The 23518-nt window shown below is 45.3% G+C and overlaps 1 long non-coding RNA gene across 2 annotated transcripts, besides 5 other annotated features; it reads left to right on the top strand.

The window, feature by feature from the left end:
* Positions 7 to 336: a silencer, noted in NCBI's record as "silent region_11803". NCBI's record gives its function as "represses an Ori minimal core promoter by ATAC-STARR-seq in GM12878 lymphoblastoid cells {active_cell/tissue: GM12878}" and the evidence as "EXISTENCE:reporter gene assay evidence [ECO:0000049][PMID:35858748]".
* Positions 148 to 20483, top strand: LOC107985922 (uncharacterized). Of its 2 annotated transcripts, none has more exons than XR_007087150.1 (2): positions 148 to 562; positions 20187 to 20483. It is a non-coding gene; the product is annotated as an uncharacterized LOC107985922 (long non-coding RNA). The 2 variants fall into 2 exon arrangements; XR_001739605.2 differs by lacking the exon at positions 148 to 562 and adding an exon at positions 18227 to 19017.
* Positions 357 to 546: a silencer, noted in NCBI's record as "silent region_11804". NCBI's record gives its function as "represses an Ori minimal core promoter by ATAC-STARR-seq in GM12878 lymphoblastoid cells {active_cell/tissue: GM12878}" and the evidence as "EXISTENCE:reporter gene assay evidence [ECO:0000049][PMID:35858748]".
* Positions 653 to 947: a silencer, noted in NCBI's record as "tiled region #13812; HepG2 Repressive non-DNase unmatched - State 1:Tss". NCBI's record gives its function as "represses a minimal TATA promoter and a strong SV40 promoter by Sharpr-MPRA in HepG2 cells {active_cell/tissue: HepG2}" and the evidence as "EXISTENCE:reporter gene assay evidence [ECO:0000049][PMID:27701403]".
* Positions 16434 to 16934: an enhancer, noted in NCBI's record as "H3K4me1 hESC enhancer chr2:99364030-99364530 (GRCh37/hg19 assembly coordinates)". NCBI's record gives its function as "activates a minimal SCP1, AML or CMV promoter by ChIP-STARR-seq in naive H9 embryonic stem cells {active_cell/tissue: H9 hESC(naive)}" and the evidence as "EXISTENCE:reporter gene assay evidence [ECO:0000049][PMID:30033119]".
* Positions 16935 to 17435: an enhancer, noted in NCBI's record as "H3K4me1 hESC enhancer chr2:99364531-99365031 (GRCh37/hg19 assembly coordinates)". NCBI's record gives its function as "activates a minimal SCP1, AML or CMV promoter by ChIP-STARR-seq in naive H9 embryonic stem cells {active_cell/tissue: H9 hESC(naive)}" and the evidence as "EXISTENCE:reporter gene assay evidence [ECO:0000049][PMID:30033119]".
* Positions 20484 to 23518: the final 3035 nt, after the last annotated feature.

The raw sequence follows: 23518 nt of genomic DNA on the forward strand, positions 1-23518 counted from the left end.
CCGCCCGCCCCGCCGGCTCCGCCCCCGCCGCTGGAGCGCCCGCCCCGCCCCGCCCCGCCGGGCCGCCCCGACCCCGCCAGCCATTGGCCGGCCCCGCGGGCCCCGCGCCCCGCGCCCCGCGCCCCACCAGTGGCCCGCGCGACTGTCACTTAGGGGCGCCGCCACGCAGCCTGCGGAGCGTTCGGGAGGCTGGCCCGGCTCATCGGTGTCACGGCGAGGTCCGGAGCGGAGCCGCGGTCTCGGGTCCCAGCTCTGGGCGCCGGCCTGCTCCCCGCCGCCCCGCTGCCACATCTGGCTGAGATCCTCCCGGCGCGTGCAGGGACCGCTCCGGCGGCCAACAAAGGCCCGGGCGAGCCCTCGGCCTGCGCCTCGGCGCGCGACCCGACCACCCGGGGCTGCCCCAGCTCCCAGGCGCCTGCCTGCCTCGACCCGGCCCCTTCCCAGCGGCGCGCCCCGCTCCGGGCCGCCCAAACTGGGCGGCCTCCCCGGGGACAGGTCCCGGGCCCAGCCCCACAGGAGCTCCCGAGGCCCCGCGGACGGTCGCGACAGCCCCAACTTCCCGGTGAGAACCCCGCGAATCGGCCAGAAGGGCTGATTTCAGCAACTGGGAAGGAGAAAAACAACTAGGGTTTCAACGCACATCGTTGGGTGCTAATGCCCCTGATTTTCCACTATGCCCCGTTTTCTTGAACCCCATGTCCTTATCTGTCGCCGTTTCACAAGGTTAGAGGTTAACTTCAAAGGCAAAAAACTGACTCGTTTGTAGAAAGCCTGGGTGGTCTGTCCCTGTTTTTCATAGTATCCATAGGACTTGTGCTAACAGTAACTACCCCTGGGTACGTCCTCTTTTGAATACTTAACTGTATAGCAGGCAACCGTATAGCAGGCATGGGTGTTAGATCGTTTATTGCATATCTCATGTTTTAAATTTATTCCCCATTTTTCATAAGAGGAAACTAGCTGAGAGGTGAAAGGGCTTGCCCAAGGTCACACAGCTGGTAATGGTTCAAAAACAAGGGATGTGTTAACTTTATTGCCGCAATAATCCTTACAGCAATCCTACCGAGTAACCTGTAAGGGAATTGAGGGGCCAAAGATCAAGGAGGCAGCCTTGTTCCTGCCAAACTCCCAAAGTAATAAGTAGATTCTTTTCAGAAAACAGTAATTTCAATAATCGAAAACTCTTAAGAGGCATCAATCAGAACAGGGTCCCCTCCCCACCTCCGATAAATTCCATTATTTTTATCTCAAGATAAGAATAATTAATAATCAGCTAGAACATGCATGGAGTTATCAGCCTTCCCATGTTGAGGTTTCTCCATGACGGCTAATTTAAAACTTCAGGAAGAGACACGTAACATCCCTGCTCCCATAGTCTCTTACTAGTTTAGGGGAACCATACCAAAAGATCTGTCCACTGCCCAGCACTGTGGACACAACTTGGGGGATCACAGCCATGATATCCAATGACAGCTCTTCCCTCTACTTTGAGTGTGTTTTCTCTCTACTTCCGGTTTGGCTGTGTCCCCACCCAAATATCATCTTGAATTGTAAATCCCACAATTCCTGTGTGGTGGGAGGAACCTGGTGGGAGGTAATTGAATCATGGGGGAGGGTCTTTCCCATGCTGTTCTCGTGATAGTGAATAAGTCTCACGAAATCTGATGGTTTTAAAAAAGGGAGTTTTGCTGCACAAACTCTCTTTGCCTGCCACCATCCATGTAAGAAGTGACTTGCTCCTCCTTGCCTTCCACCATGATTGTGAGGCCTCCCCTGCCATGTGGAACTGTAACTCCATTGAACCTCTTTTGTCCGTTGCCCAGTCTTGGGTATGTCTTTATCAGCAGCATGAAAACGGACGAATACATTGGGGACCTGAAAGCCAGGTTTCCTGTATTCTATGACAAAGCCATTGCCAAGTAGCAAGCTGGCAATTTGATTCATGACCAGATGTAAACAGAGGTAAAGACTGAGACCATTCCAAGGTAAAGCTTTTAATACATTGTTGGATATATCCTGCCTAAAATATCTCCTAGGAATAGATGATTCTAGGCTTTGCTATTACAGTGCTCTTAATGACAGACAAGCAAACTACTTCTTGCAGAGGAAGAAAGTCCTGCCATTTGATAACATCATGGAGAATGCCCCCAAGCCATTTTCATGAATTACCCAAAAGACCAAATGGAACAGGAGCTATTATCCCTATTTTATTCACGAAGAAACTGAGGCCCTGAGAAATTAAGACATTTGACAGATACAAACAGTAATTTAGGCAATTAGTAAATGTTTGAATCAGAGTTCAAATCCAGGTCTGTTTGATTCCAGAGCCCCTACATCACCCCTCCAGACTATCTCTCTGCTCACATCTTCAGCAAGTTACAAAATTTTGTTGAGTGGATGAATATTTTTACATATATTTCCCAGCTGGGCACAGTGGCTCATGCCCATAATCCCAGCACTTTGGGAGGCAGAGGTAGGAGGATTGCTTGAGCCCAGGAGTTCGAGACCGGCCGGGGAAACAGAGAGAGACCCATGTCTTTAAAAAAATAAAAATTAAAAATTAGCCTGGTGTGCATGCATCAGTAGTCCCAGCTACTGGGAAGGCTGAGGCATGAGGATCATTTGAGCCCAGGAGTTCCAGGCTGCAATGAAATATGATCATGCCACTGCACTACAGCCTGGGTGACAGAGTGAGACCCTGTCTCTCTCTCTCTCTCTCTCTCTCTCTCTCTCTCTCTCTCTCTCTCAAAAGAAAGAAAAAAAAAAGCCAGGTGTGGTGGCTCACTCCTGTAATCCCAGCACTTTGGGAGGCTGAGGCGGGCAGATCACCTGAGGTTCAGGAGTTCAAGACCAGTCTGACCAACAGTGTGAAACCCTGTCTCTATTAAAAATACAAAAATTAGCTGGGCATGGTTGTGCGTGCCTATAATCCCAGCTACTTGGGAGGCTGAGGCAGGAGAATCGCTTGAACTCAGGAGGCAGAGGTCACAGTGAGCCAAGATCGCGCCATTGCACTCCAGCCTGGGCAACAAGAGTGAAACTCCATCAAAAAAAAAAAAAAGATGTTTCTCTTCACCTTCTCCAGTTTTTTCTCTTAGTGAAGGAAGGAAATGAAAGCATTTACAGACATTCTATAAGCAGAGGCATATGTCAGAGGAGAAAGGAATAGGGGGAAGGACAAACTTCAGTTATAGACTCCACCGGCTTATTCAGATAAAAAGCGGAATTTCCCCTGCACTCTGGGTAGTGGAGGAAGCACAGCAGAAGACAAAAAGTGTACAGGAAAAACACAACTGCTTTCACTTGGAGGCTTTTTTGATACTTCGTTGCTGCTTCAACTGGCAGCAGAAGGGCAGGTTTTGGAAAATAGGGTTACACTTATCTCAAACCATATACATTGTAGCTCAGGAAAGTCTGGATTTCAGTGAGTTGTCCCAAGAAACTGGAATGCCATAGAATATATTATTCCAAGGTATAGGGTATAATTGGTTGATGATTCATGTTAACTTAGCAGAGTTTATGATCCTGGATTTTCCAACTAAGTCCATAGTATCTGTTAATAATCAAAGACAATCCATCCAAACCCCACTGAATCCCATTCCATATCTTTTTCTCTTTTTAATATTGTTGATGATGATTCTCCTCCTCTATCACTTCCTTTTTATTTATTCTCTACTTCTACAGTTTCTGTTTCTGCCTTTATTTCTCAGTGGAATTGTACCCAAGAGGTTCTGCCAGAACTTTACCATTTATTTTGTAGTCTGTCCCCAACAAAGCTTCTATGTTGAGGCTGTTTTCCTTTCCACACACATTTTTGCTGTTCCACAAACTTTTTCTGAGTGCCTATGATTACAGAGGCAGCTGTTATCTAACCACAAAGTGCTCACAGTAGAAGAAATGGGTAAGTAATTAAACCATAGTACAATGCTACAAACGCACAGTTCTGGGACAGCCGATAGGATTAAGCCATCTGGGGGCAAGGAAGCCTTCCTGGAAGTGATATCTGAGCTAAAAGCAGAGTACACACAGGGAGTGAATCTTTTCCTTTTATCTCTTTGATGGTAAATGGCTGTTGGTGGGGCCATGCCTATAGCAGTCAGCTTCTAAGAATTCAAGCACATAATCTCTAGTTTTCTTTTCTACCCCAGCCCCCTCCATGCATTAACAATCAAGCTTGCATTATTTATGAATATTTATAAAGATTGTGTTTTCTGGCTTCTTGGCTACTAGCTCTAGTGAGATTCTTTCCCCGACCCAGTGTAAAGCCTGCTAGAGGAATCACATCAGGAGGTTCTCCCTGGCTTTTTATTTTATTTTTATTTTATTTTATTTTATTTTATTTTATTTTATTTTATTTTATCTTATTTTATTTTATTTTGAGATGGAGTTTTGCTCCTGTTGCCCAGGCTGGAGTGCAATGGCGCAGTCTTGGCTCACCGCAACCTCTGCCTCCCGGGTTCAAGTGATTCTCCTGCCTCAGCCTCCCAAATAGTTGGGATTGCAGGCATGTGCCACCATGTCCAGCTAATTTTGTATTTTTAGTAGAGATGGGGTTTCTCCATGTTGGTCAGGCTGGTTTCAAACTCCCGACCTCAGGTGATCTGCCCACCTCGGCCTCCCAAAGTGCTGGGATTATGGGTGTGAGCCACCGCGCTCGGACCTCCCTGGCTTTTTTAAATGTATATGCACAAACGGTAGGAGACCTCTCCATTGTAATTGATCAACAGTGCACTCAATCACTTTCATCCAGAAACTAGATAAACTGGGACCAAGGTGAACAGTGTAGAGTCTATTAACTCTTTGTTAGATGCAGAGTGTTTCAGACACAGCATACAAACTATTTCTGTTGTATAATCAGACAGGGCACGGGAGGCCCAAGAAATTAAGGAGAGAAAATTCAAACAGAACCAACCACTGTGTATATTCAACTCTAGGTGGATGTTAAGTTTCATCCAGATGAAAGACCTTAGATTTCTAACAGAACTGAATTATTATTTTTTTATTTTTATTTTTTGAGACAGGGTTTCACACCCATCACCCAGGCTGGAGTGCAGTGGTGTGATTTCAGCTCACTGCAAGCTCCATGTCCCAGGCTCAGTGATTCTCTTGCCTCAGCCTCCCAAGTAGCTGGGACTACAGGCACACACCACCATGCTTGGCTAACTTTTGTATTTTTTGTAAAGACAGGGTTTTGTCATGTTGCCCAGGCTGGTCTTGAACTCCTGAGTTCAGGTGATATGCCCACCTTGGCCTCCCAAAGTGCTGAGATTACAGGTGTGAGCCACTGTGCCCAGCAAAATTATTCTTATTTTTAAATTTTTATTCTTCCCCCCACACCTTTGCCCAAAGAGAGAACCCTTGAAAGATGCCTTTTCTATTTCACTTTCATACCACTGGGGAAGATGTTATCTATCAAGTGACTCATACAAATGTCAGGTTGTGTGGCTACACAATTATGAAATTGTAAGTGTTTACCATGCTTAAGTGTTGTGGCTGTTGGTATTTACATAATGTACACAAGGCATTCCTAAAATTTTTACAGAAAACTCTAGAGAATCCAACCTGTCTTAGTGGGGGACAGGCTACCCTGCATGCATTGTTAGAACAAACAACAATGCTGAGTGGCAGCAAAAGTCTCTGTCAAGATGGTTTAGAAAGCTTGAAGGGATCACCCCTCCCTTGTAAGGGATGTAGCCGCATCGTTCAAGCTGACTCACTTATTTTCATTATATTCAATGTATACTCAGAAGACACAGTGGAAGAGAATTGTGTGCCAGACAATTACAGAGCTTTGGAGATTTTTTTCTTTTCTTTTTCTTCTTTTATAAATTTGGTACTTGTAAAAGTTACTGGATGAACAGCCCTGTATCTGAAATCTGCCCATGCATAAAACCAATTCAAGCAATTCAACTGTGCTACTCTATCAGTACCTTTCAAAGAGAATAAAAATCTTTGTTCACATCAAACATCCAGTACCCTGACTGCCAATTGTTGGAGTTATGGGTATCTGGAAAACAGAGTCTATGCTACCTTGTCATGGCCTCGGATGTTTCTTTATCCTCTTTTAGGGCAACTGACCATATCCCTACAAGTAGGTGTTTGTGAAAGCCAGAGTCCAGTCAAGAAAAAAAGGTGGAGGGGGCCAGGCATGGTGGCCCATGCGTGTAATCCCAGCACTTTGGGAGACCAAGGCAGGCAGGTCAGTTGAGGTCAGGAGTTCAAGAACAGCCTGGCCAACATGGTGAAACCCCACCTCTACTAAAAGTACATAATTAACTGGGCATGGTGGCACGCGCGTGTAATCCCAGCTACTCAGGAGGCTGAGTCAAGAGAATCGTTTGAACCCAGGAGGCGGAGGTTGCAGTGAGCCAAGATTGCACCATTGCACCCCAGCCTGGCAACAAGAGCGAAACTCCATCTCAAAAAAACAAAAAGCATATTAGGCATCATTTCAAGCCAAACCAGAAGCTGGTCCTGGAAACATGAGGGAATGGAGAACTATAAGCCTCTCAGATCTTTCAGGTCAAGTGGGATTTATACGGATTCTAGAAAACACCTCTCTTATTTACATTGTTCTTAAAAGAGACCATTCACGTGTCTCATGGCAGCCATCAGGACAGTATCACTGGTAAAGAGAGACTACTCTATCAGTGCCTCTGTGTTGAGCTCTCATCACGTGATCAGCTGTCTGAAAGACAGAAGTGTAAAATGTGGTCTTGGCCTTCAAGGAGTTTACAGTCTGGTTGGAGGAAAACCCAAGACCCGCCTCTTCTCATGCCTGCTCGCCTCTAACCTCTGGCCCTCAAGCTGAGCCATTCCCCCTTCTATGCTGTGACACACACAGCTGCCTCTGGCAGACTCACTCCCATGTCCATCCCACTGCCTCCTTGGCTAACTAGCATCCTTCAAGACTCAGCTGGAAGCCACCTGCCTAGGAAGCCTCCCCTTACCCACATGCCTGGGAAAGACACCGGCTGCAATCTGTCCCTACTCCTATCAGAGCATGTAGCCTCACTCTGAGTTTCCAAGCTGGTTTGCCACACGTAGGTTAGAGGAAGGCAAGCCTGAGAGTTTCTCAGCCTTTGGAGTGTCTGGGTGCTGGGTGGGACCTGGAGCCAGCTACAAGCAGCCCAAGGTGCCATGATAAATATTTTCATTTTCTCTGTGTTTTATTAAGTGAAAAAGGCTTGGCAGCACCACTATCATCTGCTAATGTATTTGCCTCATTCACCCAGCTCTTGAGGGCAGAGACTGTCTTAGTCATCAATATGTCCCAGGCACCTGTTCATTGACAGAATGGAGGAGGACTTTGTGGGAGAGAACAGACTTGATCTGAACCTTGAAGAACAGATGTCGGATTTGGACCTGTGCAGAGAAAAAGGAAATACACATGATAAGAGAAGGAGCACACCTGCAAGGTCACAAAGAGGGTGGTACACACTCAGTGTTCCTGGCACCTGGGCAGGATAGGCTGGCCAAGATGGACGGTGTGAACAGAGGCATCATGGGAAATGTGTCATGCCATGGAAGCTGTGCAGGAGGGTTCGCACCTCAGGCTTGGGTAAGAAGAAAGCACTGAAAATTTCCGAAGAGAGAAGCAACATTATAACAAAAATATTTCAAGATGAGTCTGAAAAAAGGACAAATTGAGCAGAGGAAGTCTGATGTCACTGACACCAACTAGGGAGTTGCTGTGTAATATTTTCACCTGAGTGAAAAAAAAATGGATCTTGTGATCATCAAAAAAAATACTTATTGATGGGCCAGGCATGGTGGCTTACACCTGTAATCCCAGCAGTTTGGGAGGCCGAGGCAGGTGAATCACCTGAGGTCAGGAGTTCAAGACCAACCTGGCCAACATGGTGAAACCCTGTCTCTACAAAAATATAAAAATTAGCTGGGCATGATGGCAGGTGCCTGTAATCCCAGCTGCTCAGGAGGCTTAGGCAGGAGAATCACTTGAACCCAAGAGGCAGAGGTTGCAGTGAGCTAAGATTGTGCCCTTTTACTCCAACCTGGGTGACAGAGAGAGACTCCACCTCAAAAAAAAAATTACTGAGCTGCAACAATATGTCCAGTCTACATACCTCTACTACAGACCCTTAGTAAATATTTGCTCATTGCCTTGGTTTTGCTTCCTATCTGAAACTGTACATTGGTATAGGATTAAATTCACAAGGCTTAAGACAGGATAAAGGAGAGCAGGGAAAGAGAGCTGTCTTCAGTACATGACCAAATGTACTAATATTAGTGTCTCAGAGGCAATTGAAAATGCCATATTGCTTCAGAAATGAACTGTAGTAAAAACTAAGGTGTCTCTTTACAGAAAAGAATCTTCTGGAATTCTGAAGCCTCCATTCAATAGACTTGTTCAAGTCGGCATCTACATAAGGGAAGCATCTGTCTGGGAAGAGAGAGACAGCATAAGAAATCAACAATGCCTTCCAAAAATAAAATATTCATTCATGGAAGCATCAATAACATATTCCAAGATAATTTCCGCAAAGTGCACTGTAACACTGTAAACATAATTTTAACAAATTCTTTTTCTTTTTCTTTTTCTTTTTTTGAGACAGGGTCTTGCTCAGTCACCCAGGCTGGAGTGTAGTGGCACAATCGGGGCTCAGTGCAACCTCAACTTCTCGGGCTCAAGCGATCTTCCTGCCCCGCCAAGGAGCTGAGACTACAGATGTTTGCCACCATACCTGGCTAATTTTTATTTTACATTTTAGTAGTGACAAGGTTTCACCATGTTGCCCAAGCTGGTCTCAAATTCCTGAGTGCAAGCAACCCATCCGCCTCAGCCTCCCAAAGTGCTGAAATTGCAGGCATGAGCTACTGTGCCCGGCCTAAAAAATTCCTTAAAAACTTTTTGCCAGCAATTTGTTTTGTGTACTTAACAAATGCTTATTCAAGGTACATGTTATGAAAATGAGTTGCCTCTGGTTCTGTATGGAATGGGTTGGAAGAGCAACATTCGTATCTTATCCTGGAGATGAGGGGGATGTCAGCAGGTCCTTCCCAGGTGAGGGAGCAAGAGAACAAGGTTAAGAGAGGTGCAGGAAACCTGAACACACAGTTGAGTTACGACCGAGAGCCCTCACTCTAGAGGAACTCAAGTCTTGAGCCAGTAGCACTCCCATTCCTTCTCCTCTGGGCCCCTAGGATGGCTCATAGCCTTGGGCCATCTTCCAGCCAGCCCGTAGGCTTTCCTCAGCGTTGACTTCCTCCACCAGTTGAACAGTTGCTGTATCACTGAGAACCTTTGTCCTGTTGGTTTTCTTCATGACTCCATATTAGCTGAAGCTTTTGCACACAAGACAAGCACATTTATTGAGCATCATTTTCCTAATATTAACTGAATTATGCACAAACAGGCAATCAGAAGTTTGATTCACACAAATGTGATGCTAGCACAAAGAGGGCTAGCTGGAACACAGGGCCCTAGCACTTGGGCCCTGCCCCACAGGGATGATTTCAGGGACTGAGACCAAAAGAACTGTTCAAATGTCTTCTTGGAAGGCCTTTTACACAGAGGCATGCAGTCTCATTCAGTGCCAAGGTAGAAACAGAAACGCAGAGGATGGAGCAGGCAGAAGCTGAGAGTAAACCAAGAGGAAGCCAAAAGGCAGAGAGGAAAGTAGAGGGAGAATGCGTGAGTCAGTGAAAGAGCAGAAGTGGCAGAGACGGAGAAGCCAACTGAGGGGCTGAGGCACCAGGGAGGCAGTTTCTGTGGGACAGTGGGAGAGTCCATTACTGGTGGGAAGGACGGATGGACTGGAATTCAGCCATGAGGCTGCAGGACCTTCCTGCTTGGATTCCTGCTCGTCTGGACTTACCATCATAAAACACTGTGGATAGGACAGAGCAGAGGGGCCAGGGAGTTGAGGAGGAGTGTCAAGTCCTCAAAACAGGACTCAATTTTTGTGAAGGACTGTGAGGACTTAACAATATCACATATGTGAATTCAAATGCAAACAATCAAACATTCTGGAATAAAAGACATACACATGCTTTTCAGATTATCCATGGTTTATGTTATGGGCTCCTTTATTCCTTCTCCTGTCACTCTGAGTTGAAGAAAGTAGTAGGTAATTATACTTGTTTTCATTTAAGAGAACTGGGCATGGATGGAAGGTGCAGAAGAAACAAATTTCCAGATCTCATTAAGGCAGCCACAGATCCAGTAAGGATAAATGTGTGACTGACTTTTCCATACAGATTCTAAAACCATCATGTAGAGGACAAAAGTGATTTGCTTCTAATAATCACGATTCTAATTTTTCTGTTCCATTTATTTTACCAAAAGCCAAAATACTACCAAATGACCAAAATCACACAGATAAATCCTCTTTAATTTCAGTATTCGCTGGTACCACCTGTGTGATACTATTTTTTAATCATTTTTCTAATTTTCTAACCTGAATCCTATCTCACTAGCCACATTTATGTTGCCATTCAGCAATAACAGAGAAGGTGATATTCAGAAGTATTAAAGAGTTGGACTCTGAAGCTTCCAGCAAGATGTGAATTTGCCATCATGGGCTTGTAATGAAAAAATATATAAAAGCTGCCCCCCAGCTAATGGGAAAATAAATTGGAATTGTATTGGGAAAGTACCCAAAAGAACTGTCCTTAAATGAGAATTGGGTTTTTATTAGAAAAATCTGATAACAGTAAAAAAACAACATTAGCTCCCCCCATCATCTAGTGGTCTTCATGTGTTACTGTTTCATCGCCCTCGTATAAAAGGACATTCCACTCGAGTATCTCTCAAATGTTTTCATAATTATGAAAGTATCTTCTGTCCAGCAACCTGAAATAATTTCTCATTTCAAATGAAAGCTTCAATCTTGCAATGAAAGTACATATGCCAATTTCTTCATCTTCCAAGCACTAAAGGAAAAGCCATCACCTTGGCCTCTGCAGAGAAGAACAAATATTTGGGGAGCTTTTTCCTCATAGATTTTAGTACTTGCCACAGTCACTATTTGATTATACATCATATTCCTTTCCTGTTAAATATTTTCTGAGTGCTTTCCTTGTGCTGGGCACCAGGCACTGTGTGGTGTCCACAGCTGAACACGGCTCTTCATTGTGTCTGGGGTGAACGGTAAGGGCAGGTAGATACGCAAGAAATGAAGTTTATATGCAGATTTTTCTAATAAAAACAGAAAGGCAGCCGGGCACGGTGGCTCACGCCTGTAATCCCAGCACTTTGGGAGGCCAAGGCGGGCGGATCACGAGGACAGGAGATCAAGACCATCCTGGCTAACACGGTGAAACCCCGTCTCTACTAAAAATACAAAAAAATTAGCCGGGCGTGGTCAGGTGCCTGTAGTCCCAGCTACTCGGGAGGCTGAGGCAGGAGAATGGCGTGAACCCGGGAGGCGGAGCTTGCAGTGAGCCGAGATCGCGCCACTGCACTCCAGCCTGGGCGACAGAGTGAGACTCCGTCTCAAAAAAAAAAAAAAAAAAAGAAAAGAAAAGAAAAGAAAAGAAATGGCAGAAAGGCTGGGATTGGTCTCAGTTTGTCTTGTTTTTTTTGATGGAGGAGGTGGGAAGCACAAGCGCAAGCATAGAAAGTGTGGACTGCCTTTAATGGATGCAGTGCTGCCAGAGGGCATTTGTGAGCGTGACTTGGTCAGAGCTGGGTCAGGAGATCTTCCTGGTGACAGCACGAACAGTGGGCAGGGGAGGAAGGGTGGGTCCTCCAAGCAAGAGCGAATCAGCCCTGACTTGGGGCTGCTGAGAGGATGGTGAGAGGAGGAGGGCACCGGAGGCACTGAGGTTGGGAGCACAGGTGGGGCTGATGGTAGATTCCAAGGCAAAGCAGGGACTGAGGCGAAGGTGCTTGGGAGGAAGGCTGCTTCAGTGCTGGCTCTGCCGAATCTGTGTTGGTGGGAGACATGTGGATGCTGCCCTTTGGCAGGAGTGGGCAATGAGCACCAGAACTTGAGAGAATCAGAGGACACCAGCAAGATGGAGAGAGAGGATGGCTGAGTAGAAGCCATGGAGTTTACCAACTCGGCCACTGGTCACTTTCCTGAGAGTCATTTCAGTGGAACAGTATTGGCTGAAGGCCACATGGCCATTTGTGAAGGTTGAATGTGTGGGGATGGGCTTGGGCTATGCATTTGCAGGGAGGACTAAGGCTTTCTGGTTTTGTTTTTAAGAAACATGGGGGCTGGGCACAGTGGCTCGTGCCTGTAAGCCCAGCACTTTGGGAACCTGAGGCAGGAGGATCACTTGAGCCCAGGAGTTCCAGACCAGTTTGGGCCATATAGGGAGACCCCCAACTTTATAAATATATATATATATATTAGCTGGACATGGTGGCACATGCCTGTGGTTCCAGCTACTTGGGAGGCTGAGGTGGAGGATTGCGTGAGCCCACGAGGTAGAGGCTGCAGTGAGCTGTGATTGTGCCACTGCATTCCAACTCCAGCCTGGATGACAGAGCAAGACTTTGCCTAAAAAAAAAAAAAAAAAGAAAAGAAAAGAAAAGAAAAAGGGGTCTGATGGATAAATCAAAAATCATGGTCTTTCCCATAACTGGCTGCATCCCACTGAGCATCCCTTTGTCTTGGCCAGCTTAGTATTCCTAACTACTCTCGACACCTCTGCTATTTTTCTATAATTATAGATAAGACTGAAATAATAGTAAAAGCAGCTAGTATTCCCAAAGCATGTATACTCTACCAGGCATCACACTAAGAATATTAATACATATTAATTAATTTAATCTTCCCTACAGCCCTGAGAAGTTGGGACTCTCATTTTGCCTGTTTTACAGGTGAGGAAAATGAGGCAAGAGAAATTAAATAACTTACCTAAGTTCACACAACTAGGAAGTAGCTGAGCTGGGAGTCAGCCCAGGAAATGTGCTGAAGTCTGTGCTCTTAATTAAGATCTTGGCCACCCTCCAACCACTGCAAAGGTAGAAAGGAAGGCAGGGCATGGTGGCTGACATCTGTAATCCCAGCCCTTTGGGAGGCCTAGGGAGGCAGATTGCTTGAGCCCAGGGGTTCAAGATCAGCCTGGGCAACATAGTGAGACCCCGCCCCTCCAAAAAAATTAAAAAATTAGCCAGGCATGGTGGCATGAGCCTGTGGTCTCAGCTACTTGGGAGATTGAGGTGGGAGGATTGCTTGAGCCTAGGAGGTCGAAGCTGCAATAAGCCATGATCATGCCACGGCACTCCATCCTGGGCAACAGAGCAAGACCCTGTCTCAAAAAAAGTATAAAAGGAGTTCTAGGAGTTTTACAGAAACTAAACAAAATTGTAGAAAGCTTTCGATATTAATTTTTTAATATGCCAGCTCCTTTTGGAGAGTGCCATGGACTAAATTCAACATCAGAGCTGAAAAATCTACCAGCACCATAAGCCTACGATTGAGGACTCAGACACAGGAAGGACCTTAAAGCATCTACAGTTAAGTGCCTTCTTTCACATAAAAAGAAACCACCATCCAGGCCAGCAGAGTGGCCTGGTCAAGGTTACGTCATGGCTGAGAGCCAGCAGAGACTGGAACTCAGTGTCCCAAGTTTTTCCACTGCACCCAAAGGGGCTGGAGGTAGAGGAGACAGGAAGAAGGGTGCGGTGAGGGAGGAAGGAAGCAGCTGAGGTGAGGCTGTGCCTAGAGCCCAGTACAGGGTGCAGGCTGCGTGGCACGGGCCTGCCCACAGGCTGCAGCCCATCTCAGGCCTCTTCTGAGAGGTGGCTCGGAATTTGCATGTTACCTTTCAGCCATTTCACATGACTCATTTCCTTTTTCTCTCCTCCTGTGTCTTACACTACCTATGCCCAGGACAAAGTGTTGATGAGGCCTGACCCATTAGTGCTTAATTAATGTTTTAAAATTAACTAATGTATCTGTACATGAGCTAATGATCAAAGGAGAAATGGAGAGGAAAAATAATTCCCCAGATCTTGCCTAGATCTGCCAGGGAAGCGGGAAAATAGCTTCAGTAGAATCTTCTTGAATCTTGCAAAAGAAAAAGACACTGTCTGTAGCAGTAACTTGAACTGTGCAATGTTCGTACTGATCTTTTTAAGATTTGTCCACTTCAACATTGAAGCTCCCAGCATATAAGTTGCAGTTGGTAACTTTCACCTTTTAATGGCATTTCATCTTGTTGTCAACAGGGACGCAGTAATGTGAAAACACTGAACGTGTGTCTCTTGCAAAAACAACTTTCCATACACACAAAAACTTACTGTGCAAACATGGCTTCTCCCTAAATGGCCCTACACATAGGCCAAGAAACAAAAAGCACATTTTGCAAAATAACCACCTCTCCCAAAACTGTTACCGCTTTTTGGGTGGTGCTAAAACTTGTAAGCAGGAGAAGGAGAAGTTTTTACTATCCAAGGATCATCTTTTGCATTTGCCTTAAGTTAAATGACTTAAAGAGAATACAAACACATTTACTTTCAAAAATATACCTAGTTTTTGGCTTGAATTTTAGAGTATGCTGAATAGGCAGTTATTTACATGGATTTGATTAGGAACACTAGGGCAACCCCAGAAAAAAAGTTAGTTTTCTTGGGGATTCACTGATGTCTGAACCTTAGCATTTCGTTAGTGGCTTTGTTACTTCAGTGGAAGGATTTTCCATTTGTTCAAGAGTGAAGGCTCCTGGAAAGGAAGTTGCATTTCACCAGGGTTGATAAAGGCCTGTGGGTGCAGACAGGTCATCAAGACAAGTGAGGAGAGCCAGGGTAAGGACATTGCCAGCTTGAGCACAATGGCAAATGACAACTGAGTTTAGCCCCCAGGTCCGGCAGGCAGTAGGGAGTTGTGGAGGTGGGTCACGGATGAGCAGCTGCCACACAGCTCCGGCCAATTTCTCACCTCCTGGGATGGAAGCCCAGAGTAGTCGCATCTGCTTCTTTCAGAAGCAATTGAAGTTCTGAGCCTAATGTTGATTTTCCCAGTTTTAAAGTAGCTGGGGGACTATACAGAACATATTTTCTGGCCATATCTAGCGTGTGGGCCTCAGCTTCCAGTCTCTGTGAAACCCTCTCAGTTATTGTTGTCTTTAATGTAACCAATGGGTAGGATCATTTTTCCCCCTTGGCACAGGGTCTTTCTCCATCACCCAAGCTGGGGTGCAGTGGCAAAATCATGGCTCACTGCAGCCTTGACCTCCTGGGCTCAAGTGAGCCTCCCATCTCAGCCTCCCAAGTAGCTGGGACCACAGGCAACCAGGCCCAGCTAATTTTTTATTATGTTTTATAGAGTCGGGGTCTCGCTGTGTTGCCCAGGCTGGTCTCAAACTCCTGGGCTCAAGTGATCTGCCCACCTCAGCCTTCCAAAGTGCTGGGATTACAGGCATGAGCCACTGCACCTGTCCAGGTAGGATCTTTAGATCTAGTCTGAATCCTAGACTTTCCATTCAATATCTGTGTTACATATAAATGAATATATGGTATATACAGTTATGTGTCATTTAATGACAGGGACACATTCTGAGAAATGCATCATTAGGTGATTTCATCATTGTGTGAACATCATAGAGTGTGCTTACACAAACCTAGATGGTAGAGCCTACTATACACCCAGGCTCTATGGTATGGCCCATTGCTCCTGGGCTACAAACCTGGATGGCAAGTTACTATACTGAATACTGTAAGCAGTTGTAGCATAATGTTAAGTATTTGTGTATCTAAACATATCTAAATGTAGAAAAAGTACAGGAAAATTACAGTATAAAGGATATAAAATGGTATATCTGTATAGGGCACTTAACAAAAATGTACGCTTGTATAGGGAAGGCCTGGAAGCTGCTCTGGGTGAGTCAGTGAGTGAGTGGTGAGTGAATGTGAAGGCCTAGGACATTATTGTACACTACTATAGACTTTAAAAACACTATACACTGGCCGGGCATGGTGGCTCACGCCTGTAATCCCAGCACTTTGGGAGGCTAAGGCAGGAGGAATACCTGAGGTCAGGAGTCCGAGACTAGCCTCGGCAACATGGTGAAACCCCGTATCTACCAAAAATACAAAAAATTAGCTCAGCATGGTGGCACATGCCTGTAGTTCCAGCTACTCAGGAGGCTGAGGCAGGAGAATCTCTTGAGCCTGGAAGAAGGAGGTTGCAGTGAGCCGAGATTGTGCCACTGCACTCCAGCCTGGGCAACAGAGCGAGACTCCATCTCAAAAACAACAACAACAACAAAAAAAAACTATACACTTAGGTTACACCAAATTTATAAAAACAAAACATAATTGCTCTATGACATTATGATGGTTATGATGTCATTAGGCAATAGGAATTTTTCAGTTCCATTATAATCTTTTGGGACCACCATTGTATATGTGGTCCATCCTTGGCTGAAATGTCATTGTGAGGTACACGACTGTACTTTATGAATATATGTGTTGCATATTAATATGTTATACATTATATGCTGTATCCATCAGCTATTCATATTATGGAATTGTAGAAGCCCAGTTTTGCATCTGTAAGATATTTTTATTTCATTTTATGTTTTTGTTTATCCCAACCACAAACTGAATGCATCTGTAAAATAAATATGACCTCAGCCACCTTGCAGAGCTATTGTGTTTGTGAAACGAATTCTTTTCCATTTGGATTGAATGCTCTAGGGGAGCTTCCTGAAACCTGGGTCCCTTTAGTTTTGATATTTCATGAAAAAGCTTGTTTTTAAAGCCAGAGTAAGGCAGATGGGAATGGGATTGGGAATTGATGAACATGGAGAAATTTTGGAGCAGCTACAGAAGGGAATGCTGGAGATTGGGCCTGTTTCCTTATCTTCAGCTCTTGTCTCTGGTTTTCATGACTGCGCTTTTGTGCATCTTGATGTAACGCCCCTCCTTTCCAGAAGTATTCACTCTTTAAGATGGAACAGATGATGAATGGGAAACAGTGCTGGTGGCAGGGAGGGGCCAGGGCAGGAAGTGGCCCTGGTCAGCTCGGGTAGGTGGCACCCCCCAATGTGCTTTGCAGCCTCGGGCGAGTGCAGTTGTCCTGCCTCCTGTGGTGTCTGCCTTAGCCCAGACCTGTTCAGACTCCGTAGAGATCGCATCATGCTCGGTTTAACAAAAGCAGTTTGCAATGTGTAAAACACAATTATAACTTTGTAAAAAGAAAAATAGATGTCTGTAGGAATGAAAAACCTTCTGTGTGGAGTACCCCAAAACGTGGGTGGGAGGGAGCACAGTTTTTCCCAGAACGTATGAGCTCCCCAGGCTGATGTTCTTCTCAGTTTGGATTTCCCACCCCACTCAGCAGCCTTGAGCTCTGCTGGGTCCCTTGTGAAATCCTTTATGCTCGTGCTATGCTATGCTAAGCCAGCCGGTTTTTGGTATTTTAGAAGGAGACAGGAGAAATGAGACTTTGCTGGGCTGTGCCCCACCTAGTTTTGTTTTTTGTTGTTGAGTTTTGTTTTTCGTCTGTCAACCAGGATGGAGTGCAGTGGTGCCGTCACAGCTCACTGCAGCCTCAAACTCCTGGGCTCAAGCCATCCTCCTGCCTCAGATCTCGGGAAGGTGGGACTACAGGCAGGCACCACCACACTTGGCTAATTGTTTTTTATTTTTTGTAGAGATGGGGGGGTGGGTCTCCCTATGTTGCTCATGCTGGTCTCAAACTCCTGGGCTCAAGCAATCCTCCCACCTCAGCCTCCCAAAGCACTGAGATTACAGATGTGAGCCACCCGCCCACTCCTGGTTTTGAGGCTGCTGCCTCTTCCTTGTTTCCTCGGCAATCTATGCCTCCCTCTGGCCCTGCCATGTAGATGGAGCTGGAGGTCAGGTCCTAAGCCCGAGGCCCCTGTGCCCTCTTTCTCCATGAGTGTACTCATGCTGTCTACCCTGGCATGCCTCCACTCCCACCCCTGCCCTCATGCTACCATCCCGAATCACCGTCGCTTGCTGCAACTTTATTTGATTGTCCCACACTGTTGAGTGTGTAACATAGAACTAGCCCAGAGTGGGCTGTCTCTCAGTAAAAGAGAAGTGTCTTTCCCTTTTGAAACCAAACTCATCATCTTTCTCCAAAATACATCTTCTCCCCCCAACTTCCCCATTCCTTGTACAGCATCCTTTTGCTCACACATGACTGTGGCTCAAATCTCAGACTCAGCCTTTGCTCCCTGCCTCTCTCTCCCCCTACCCCTGTGCACTTCTGACTCAGCTGCCAACTCCCATCTGGCTGCCTGTTGTCAGCAGCCTTGAGTACATGCATCTTGTCTCATTTCTCCTGTCTCCTCATTAGCACTAAGCCTCATGACCTCAGCTGTCTGGTAAGTGTTGTGGAAGCCCTTGCAATCTAGCTTAGACATAAAAAGGGAGTACATCTGGGCACCGTGAGGGACAGAAACCAGGAACTGGAACCAAAAACCGGAGACTTTATTGGAGGGAAGGATTGGGAGGTGGGAGAAGGGGGGACACTTGATCTTCTGTAAAGGAAGAGTCCCAAACCCCTCAGCCTGGCACTCAAAGCCTGCCCTGGCCGTGTGGTTTCCTACCTTACCAACAGCACCTCTTGAACGTTTCTCCTCAAAAACACCATGAACATTCATGCTTCTTTTTCCTCATATCATTCAAAAAATATGATTTTAAATTATAAGGGGCCTTATGAAATAAAAATGTCTAAGAAAAGAAATATATCTCATTAAGATGAAGGCCTCATTTTCAGTAAGATGTAAGTAAAATAAAACTTACATCCTGACTTTTTAGAAAATGCTCTGTTATGTAACCTATAACTAGGTGGTATGGCATAGAAGTTTCTTCCACTATATATTGATGGAGTTTCAAAGATATGAAGGTGCTGTGGTCTGGATGTACCACCAAATTCTGGTGTTGAAATCCTAACCCTCAAAGAGGTGGGGCCTTTGGGAGGTGATTAGATCATGAGGGTGGATCCCTTAACTCTTCCATTATATGAGGACAAACCAAAAAACTGAACCAAGTCTGAACTAGGAAGCTGGCCCTCACCAAGCACCGCACCTGCCAGCACCTTGGACTTCCCAGCCTCCAGAACGGTGAGAAATAAACGTTGGTTATAAGCCATCCAGTCTTTGGTATTTTACTATAGCAGTTTTGGCATTTCCATTATGGCAGTCTTTGGTATTGATACAGAAGGACTGGGCTCCCGACTAAACCCCACCCTTGAGCCTGGAACTGTGGCCCTAAGTGAAAACAGCTGACCCTGTTTTTCCACCCAAATGACGCCTTTTTGGCCTTCCATGCCCCATCCTGTGCCCATAAAAAGACTTCAGCTGGCAGAGCAACACAAGCGGCTGAGTGCTCGGGATACAAGCTGCTAAGCATCAGGGATTCAAGTGATTTAATGGCAAGCAGAGAAGCAACTGAGCATCAGAGACTATGGAAAGATATGGCTAACTTCAGCCGGTGCAGCTTTGGAGAGGGGTCTGGCTGGAAACAGCCAGGCTTCAGGGAAACATCACCTTCTTTGGGCACCATCCTCTTTCCAACTCCCTATCCCGCTGAGAGCCACTTCCATTGCCCAATAAAATCCTCCACATACACTGCCTTTCAAGCCATTTGTGAGACCTGATTCTTCCTGGATGCCGGACAAGAACCTGGGTGCAGAGAGGGCAAGGGCTGCCATCCTCCACTGAGCTGGTTGGCACTTGGCTGTCCCAGGATGGCAGAGCTCAAAGAGCATTGGTTGGACACCGATGCAGGGCCTGCACAGAGCCTGCTCCCACCAGAGAGGAGTGATTGGCCAGTTCCAGCGTTGGTTCACTCTGGGGCCCGCACCTGCTCACTCGCATGCTCCCTCTTGCACGGGGATTGAGCACGGGGAGGCTGAGTAAATGAGCCACACCCCTATTGCAAGTCCTGAGATGGGGGTCAAGGGAATTATCCCATCTCAGCAGTTTATTATAGCCATCTTTGGTATTTTATTATAGTCGAGTGGATTAACAGAGAAAGGAGCTCTCCAATGGGTATCTGTTGTTTTTTGTTTAATAAGCATTTTAGTGGCAGAAATAGATAGTTGTGTTGGGGCTCAGAAATCAACATCCCCAAAGATGGTGTTTTGACCTGTTAAACTGGGATCTCTCTGACTCCCCCACCCCCACTGTCTCTCCCATGGAATCTGGAGTTCCTTTATCCACCTAAGACCCAAACCCACCAAGGAGAAGAATTATTCTTGTTCCCTCCCTGTTGTCATTGTTTATTGCAGGAAAGAAGACCAAGATGTAAGCACACCTGAGCAGATCCTTTTCCAAGTATCCTGATGTCTCCAAGGGCTGTTCAGATTCCAAAGAGAACTATCTACAAGTTAATCTCTGTTACTGGAGTCATTCATTCTCCGTAGTAATCTGCTCCACAGAATTCCTCTTCTCTTCCCTCCCATAACCTGTTTTACCAGGATCCAAGCCTCCATTCTTTCTGTAACCTCATTGGGAAGTTGGTTCTTCATTTGGAAGGCTCCCATGTGTACATGTTAAATAAATATCTATGCCTTTTCTTCTGTTAATCAGTCTGCTTCAGTCAGTGATTTTTAGTGAAACTTTAGGGGGCCAAGGGCCTTGGTCCTCATATTTGCTTGTCCAATATCAATTCTTCACTCTTCTTTACTAATAGAATCCTGATTTGGGTGGGGGCAGGGGGGCACGACAATGTACCCAACTAAATAAATACCTTTCCCAGTCTCTCTTGAAGATATGGGTGAAAATATGATAAAGTTCCTGTCATTGATAGTTAAGCAGAAGTTGTGAGGTGAGGCTTTTATCTTGGCCCTTCCTCCTTCCTGTTGTGTGGACAATGGACCTGATGTCTGGGGCTTTGGCAGTGATTTTATGACTATGAGGACAAAGACCTCACCCTCCAGGGACAGTGGAGTTGAGAACCAGGAGGAGCCTGGGTTGCCAATGCTTTGAGAAGCTGCCACATCAGCCCTGAACTGCCTAACTCCAGATTTCTTGTTATGTAAAGTCCCTAATCAGTGGTTCCCAGTTTTCTCACCAGAGAAGCTCTAAAAATTATTGCTGCCTGGATCTCACCTCAAAAGGTTCTTATGTAATTGATATGGGGTGTGGCCTAGACATTTGGTTTTTAATATCTTCCAGATGATTCTAGTATAAGTCCCTTTCGGCTAAGAACGGTTTGGCACCATGGGGTGTTAGCTGCTATGTTCTTTGTATTAATCTGCCTTGTCCTCTTCACTGCATGAATCAATTTCTTGGTTGCCGTCTCTGTTTCACTGTCATTTTCAGGAGACTTCATTTAACTGGTCCTAGGGATTTTAAGTTACGCTTCCCCCGTGTGCCTCCTGATTTCCATCCAGTTACTTGTGAAACATTGGGGAAAAAAAGCACTGAAGGTTCTGTCTCTAAACTTGCTGATTGAGATTTGGTATTTAACCAAATCTAGCTTAAGCTAAGCGCAATAAGATTAGATAGATGTGATTGTGTTTTGTTGCTGCTATGCCCACTAGGTATGATTGAGAAGCACTAGGATGGAAATCAGGGGACTTTTCTCCTTGCTGTTTTGTTTCATTGTGCACACTAAACAAACAAACACTTATTTCCTCTCTTGGATTCGGGCAAACTGTCTTTTCCTGTCTAATCCACGTGCCACTATTGCCCAGAACCTGTGTGCTCTGGTCATTCCCATCTTTATTAGTCTGTTCTCATATTGCCAATAAAGACATACCCAAGACTGGGTAATTTATAAAGGGAAGAGATTTAATTGACTCACGTTCCACATGGCTGAGGAGGTATCACAATCATGGCAGAAGACGAAGGAAGAGCAAAGTCACGTCTTACATGGCTGCAGACAAAGAGAGTGTGTGCAGGGGAACTCCTTTTTATAAAACCATCAGATCTCATGAGACTTACTCACTATCACAAGAACAGCATAGGAAAGACCCACTCCATGATTCAGTTACCTCCACCAGGTCCCTCCCATGACATGTGGGAATTATGGGAGCTATAATTCAAGATGAGATTTGGGTGGGGACACAGCCAAACTATATCACCATCTACATCCTCTGCATTTCCTTTGCCTTATTTGACATTTCTTTTGTTGGAGTCCATGTTGTGTATTATCTAAGATTCATGGCTCATCTCATTTTATTGTTCAGATAGTCTGAATAAGAGAATCCAATTTTTGGCAAAGATCCCCTCATTAATGTAGCTGGCCTTGAAAACTTATTTTATCCTTTTTAGTGAATGTGGCCAGTGACAATATAATCTCACAAGTTTTGCAATATCACCTGCCTCCTTCATGGGAATCATGGCGTCAATCCCAAAAGACTCACCAGCAAGATGTATTCTTGAACATTGGGACCAGTTTAAACTAAATGGCCTTAAGAAGAGAAAACTGGTCTTTCTGTGTAATATGTTTGGCCTTGGTATTATTTAGAAAAACAAGAGAAATGGCCTCCTACTGGAACTGTGGCCTTTAATACTATACTTCAGCTCAATTTGTTTTGTAAGCAGGAAGGAAAATGGGATGAAATACCATATGTTCAAGTGTTTTACTGCTCAGTCAGAATAAAACCCTGCAGCAGACATGTGCATGTTTGATGGGAGAAAAGGAAGAAAAAGAACCAGACATACTAGGTGATCCCTTGGTACAGCCCCCACAGTTCAGTGGACATTTTTGGGTGGAGCAGAACCTCCTTCTGTCAGCTCTGAAGGTTCAGATGTGTCAGCCCTTTCTCCCTGTAGTCCACCTGAAAGTTCTATTGAGAACCCTTCATCCACTCCTCCTTACCTGTCTAGTCCCACTCTATACTCACCACTCCCTGAGGAACTTAGCCCTGAAAGTACTACTTAGAGTGGAGCCTCTTATCAACCTCCAAAGGGAAATCTTTGGCCATTTACACAGGTTGCAAATGGGGAAGAAGTCACTGCAAGAATACATGTTCCCTTTTCTATGTCTGATTTGGCTCTATGTGAAGAGAAGTTTGGTCATTTCTTTAAAGATCCAGGAAAATTCATAGATGAGTTTGAGAAATTAACTCCTACCCATAGTTTAACATTGCAGGATCTGCATGTTTTGTTTTCTCTGTGCTGTACAGTGGAAGAGAAACAACACATTTTGGGGACAACTAGGACCCATACAGATGAGGTATTGGCTCATAACCCTAACCATAATATGTATTAGGTAGGAGGTGTAACAGTTCCAGATCAAGATCCAGAATAGAACAATCAAAGGGGCAGTGAGGACTTGGAGAGGAGAGATTATATAGTCACTTGTTTGTTGGAAGGGATGAAGAAATTTGTGAAAAAGCCTGTTAACTATTGAAGAGGTTAAAGAAATTTCTCAGGGTAAAGATGAGAATCCAGCTTTGTTTCAAGGGCATTTATTTGAGGCGATTAGGAAATATACTAACACTGATCCTGCCTCAAGGGAAGGACAGACCATTTTGGGAGTACATTTCATAATCCAGTCTACCCATGATATCTGTAGAAAACTACAAAAATCAACTCTGGGTCCCCAGACTCCTATGGAACAACTTTTGGATGTGGCATTTTTAGTTTTTAATAACAGGGAAAAACAGAG

The sequence above is a fragment of the Homo sapiens genome, chromosome 2 (assembly GCF_000001405.40).
Source record: "Homo sapiens chromosome 2, GRCh38.p14 Primary Assembly".
Classification (NCBI taxonomy): Eukaryota; Metazoa; Chordata; class Mammalia; order Primates; family Hominidae; genus Homo; species Homo sapiens.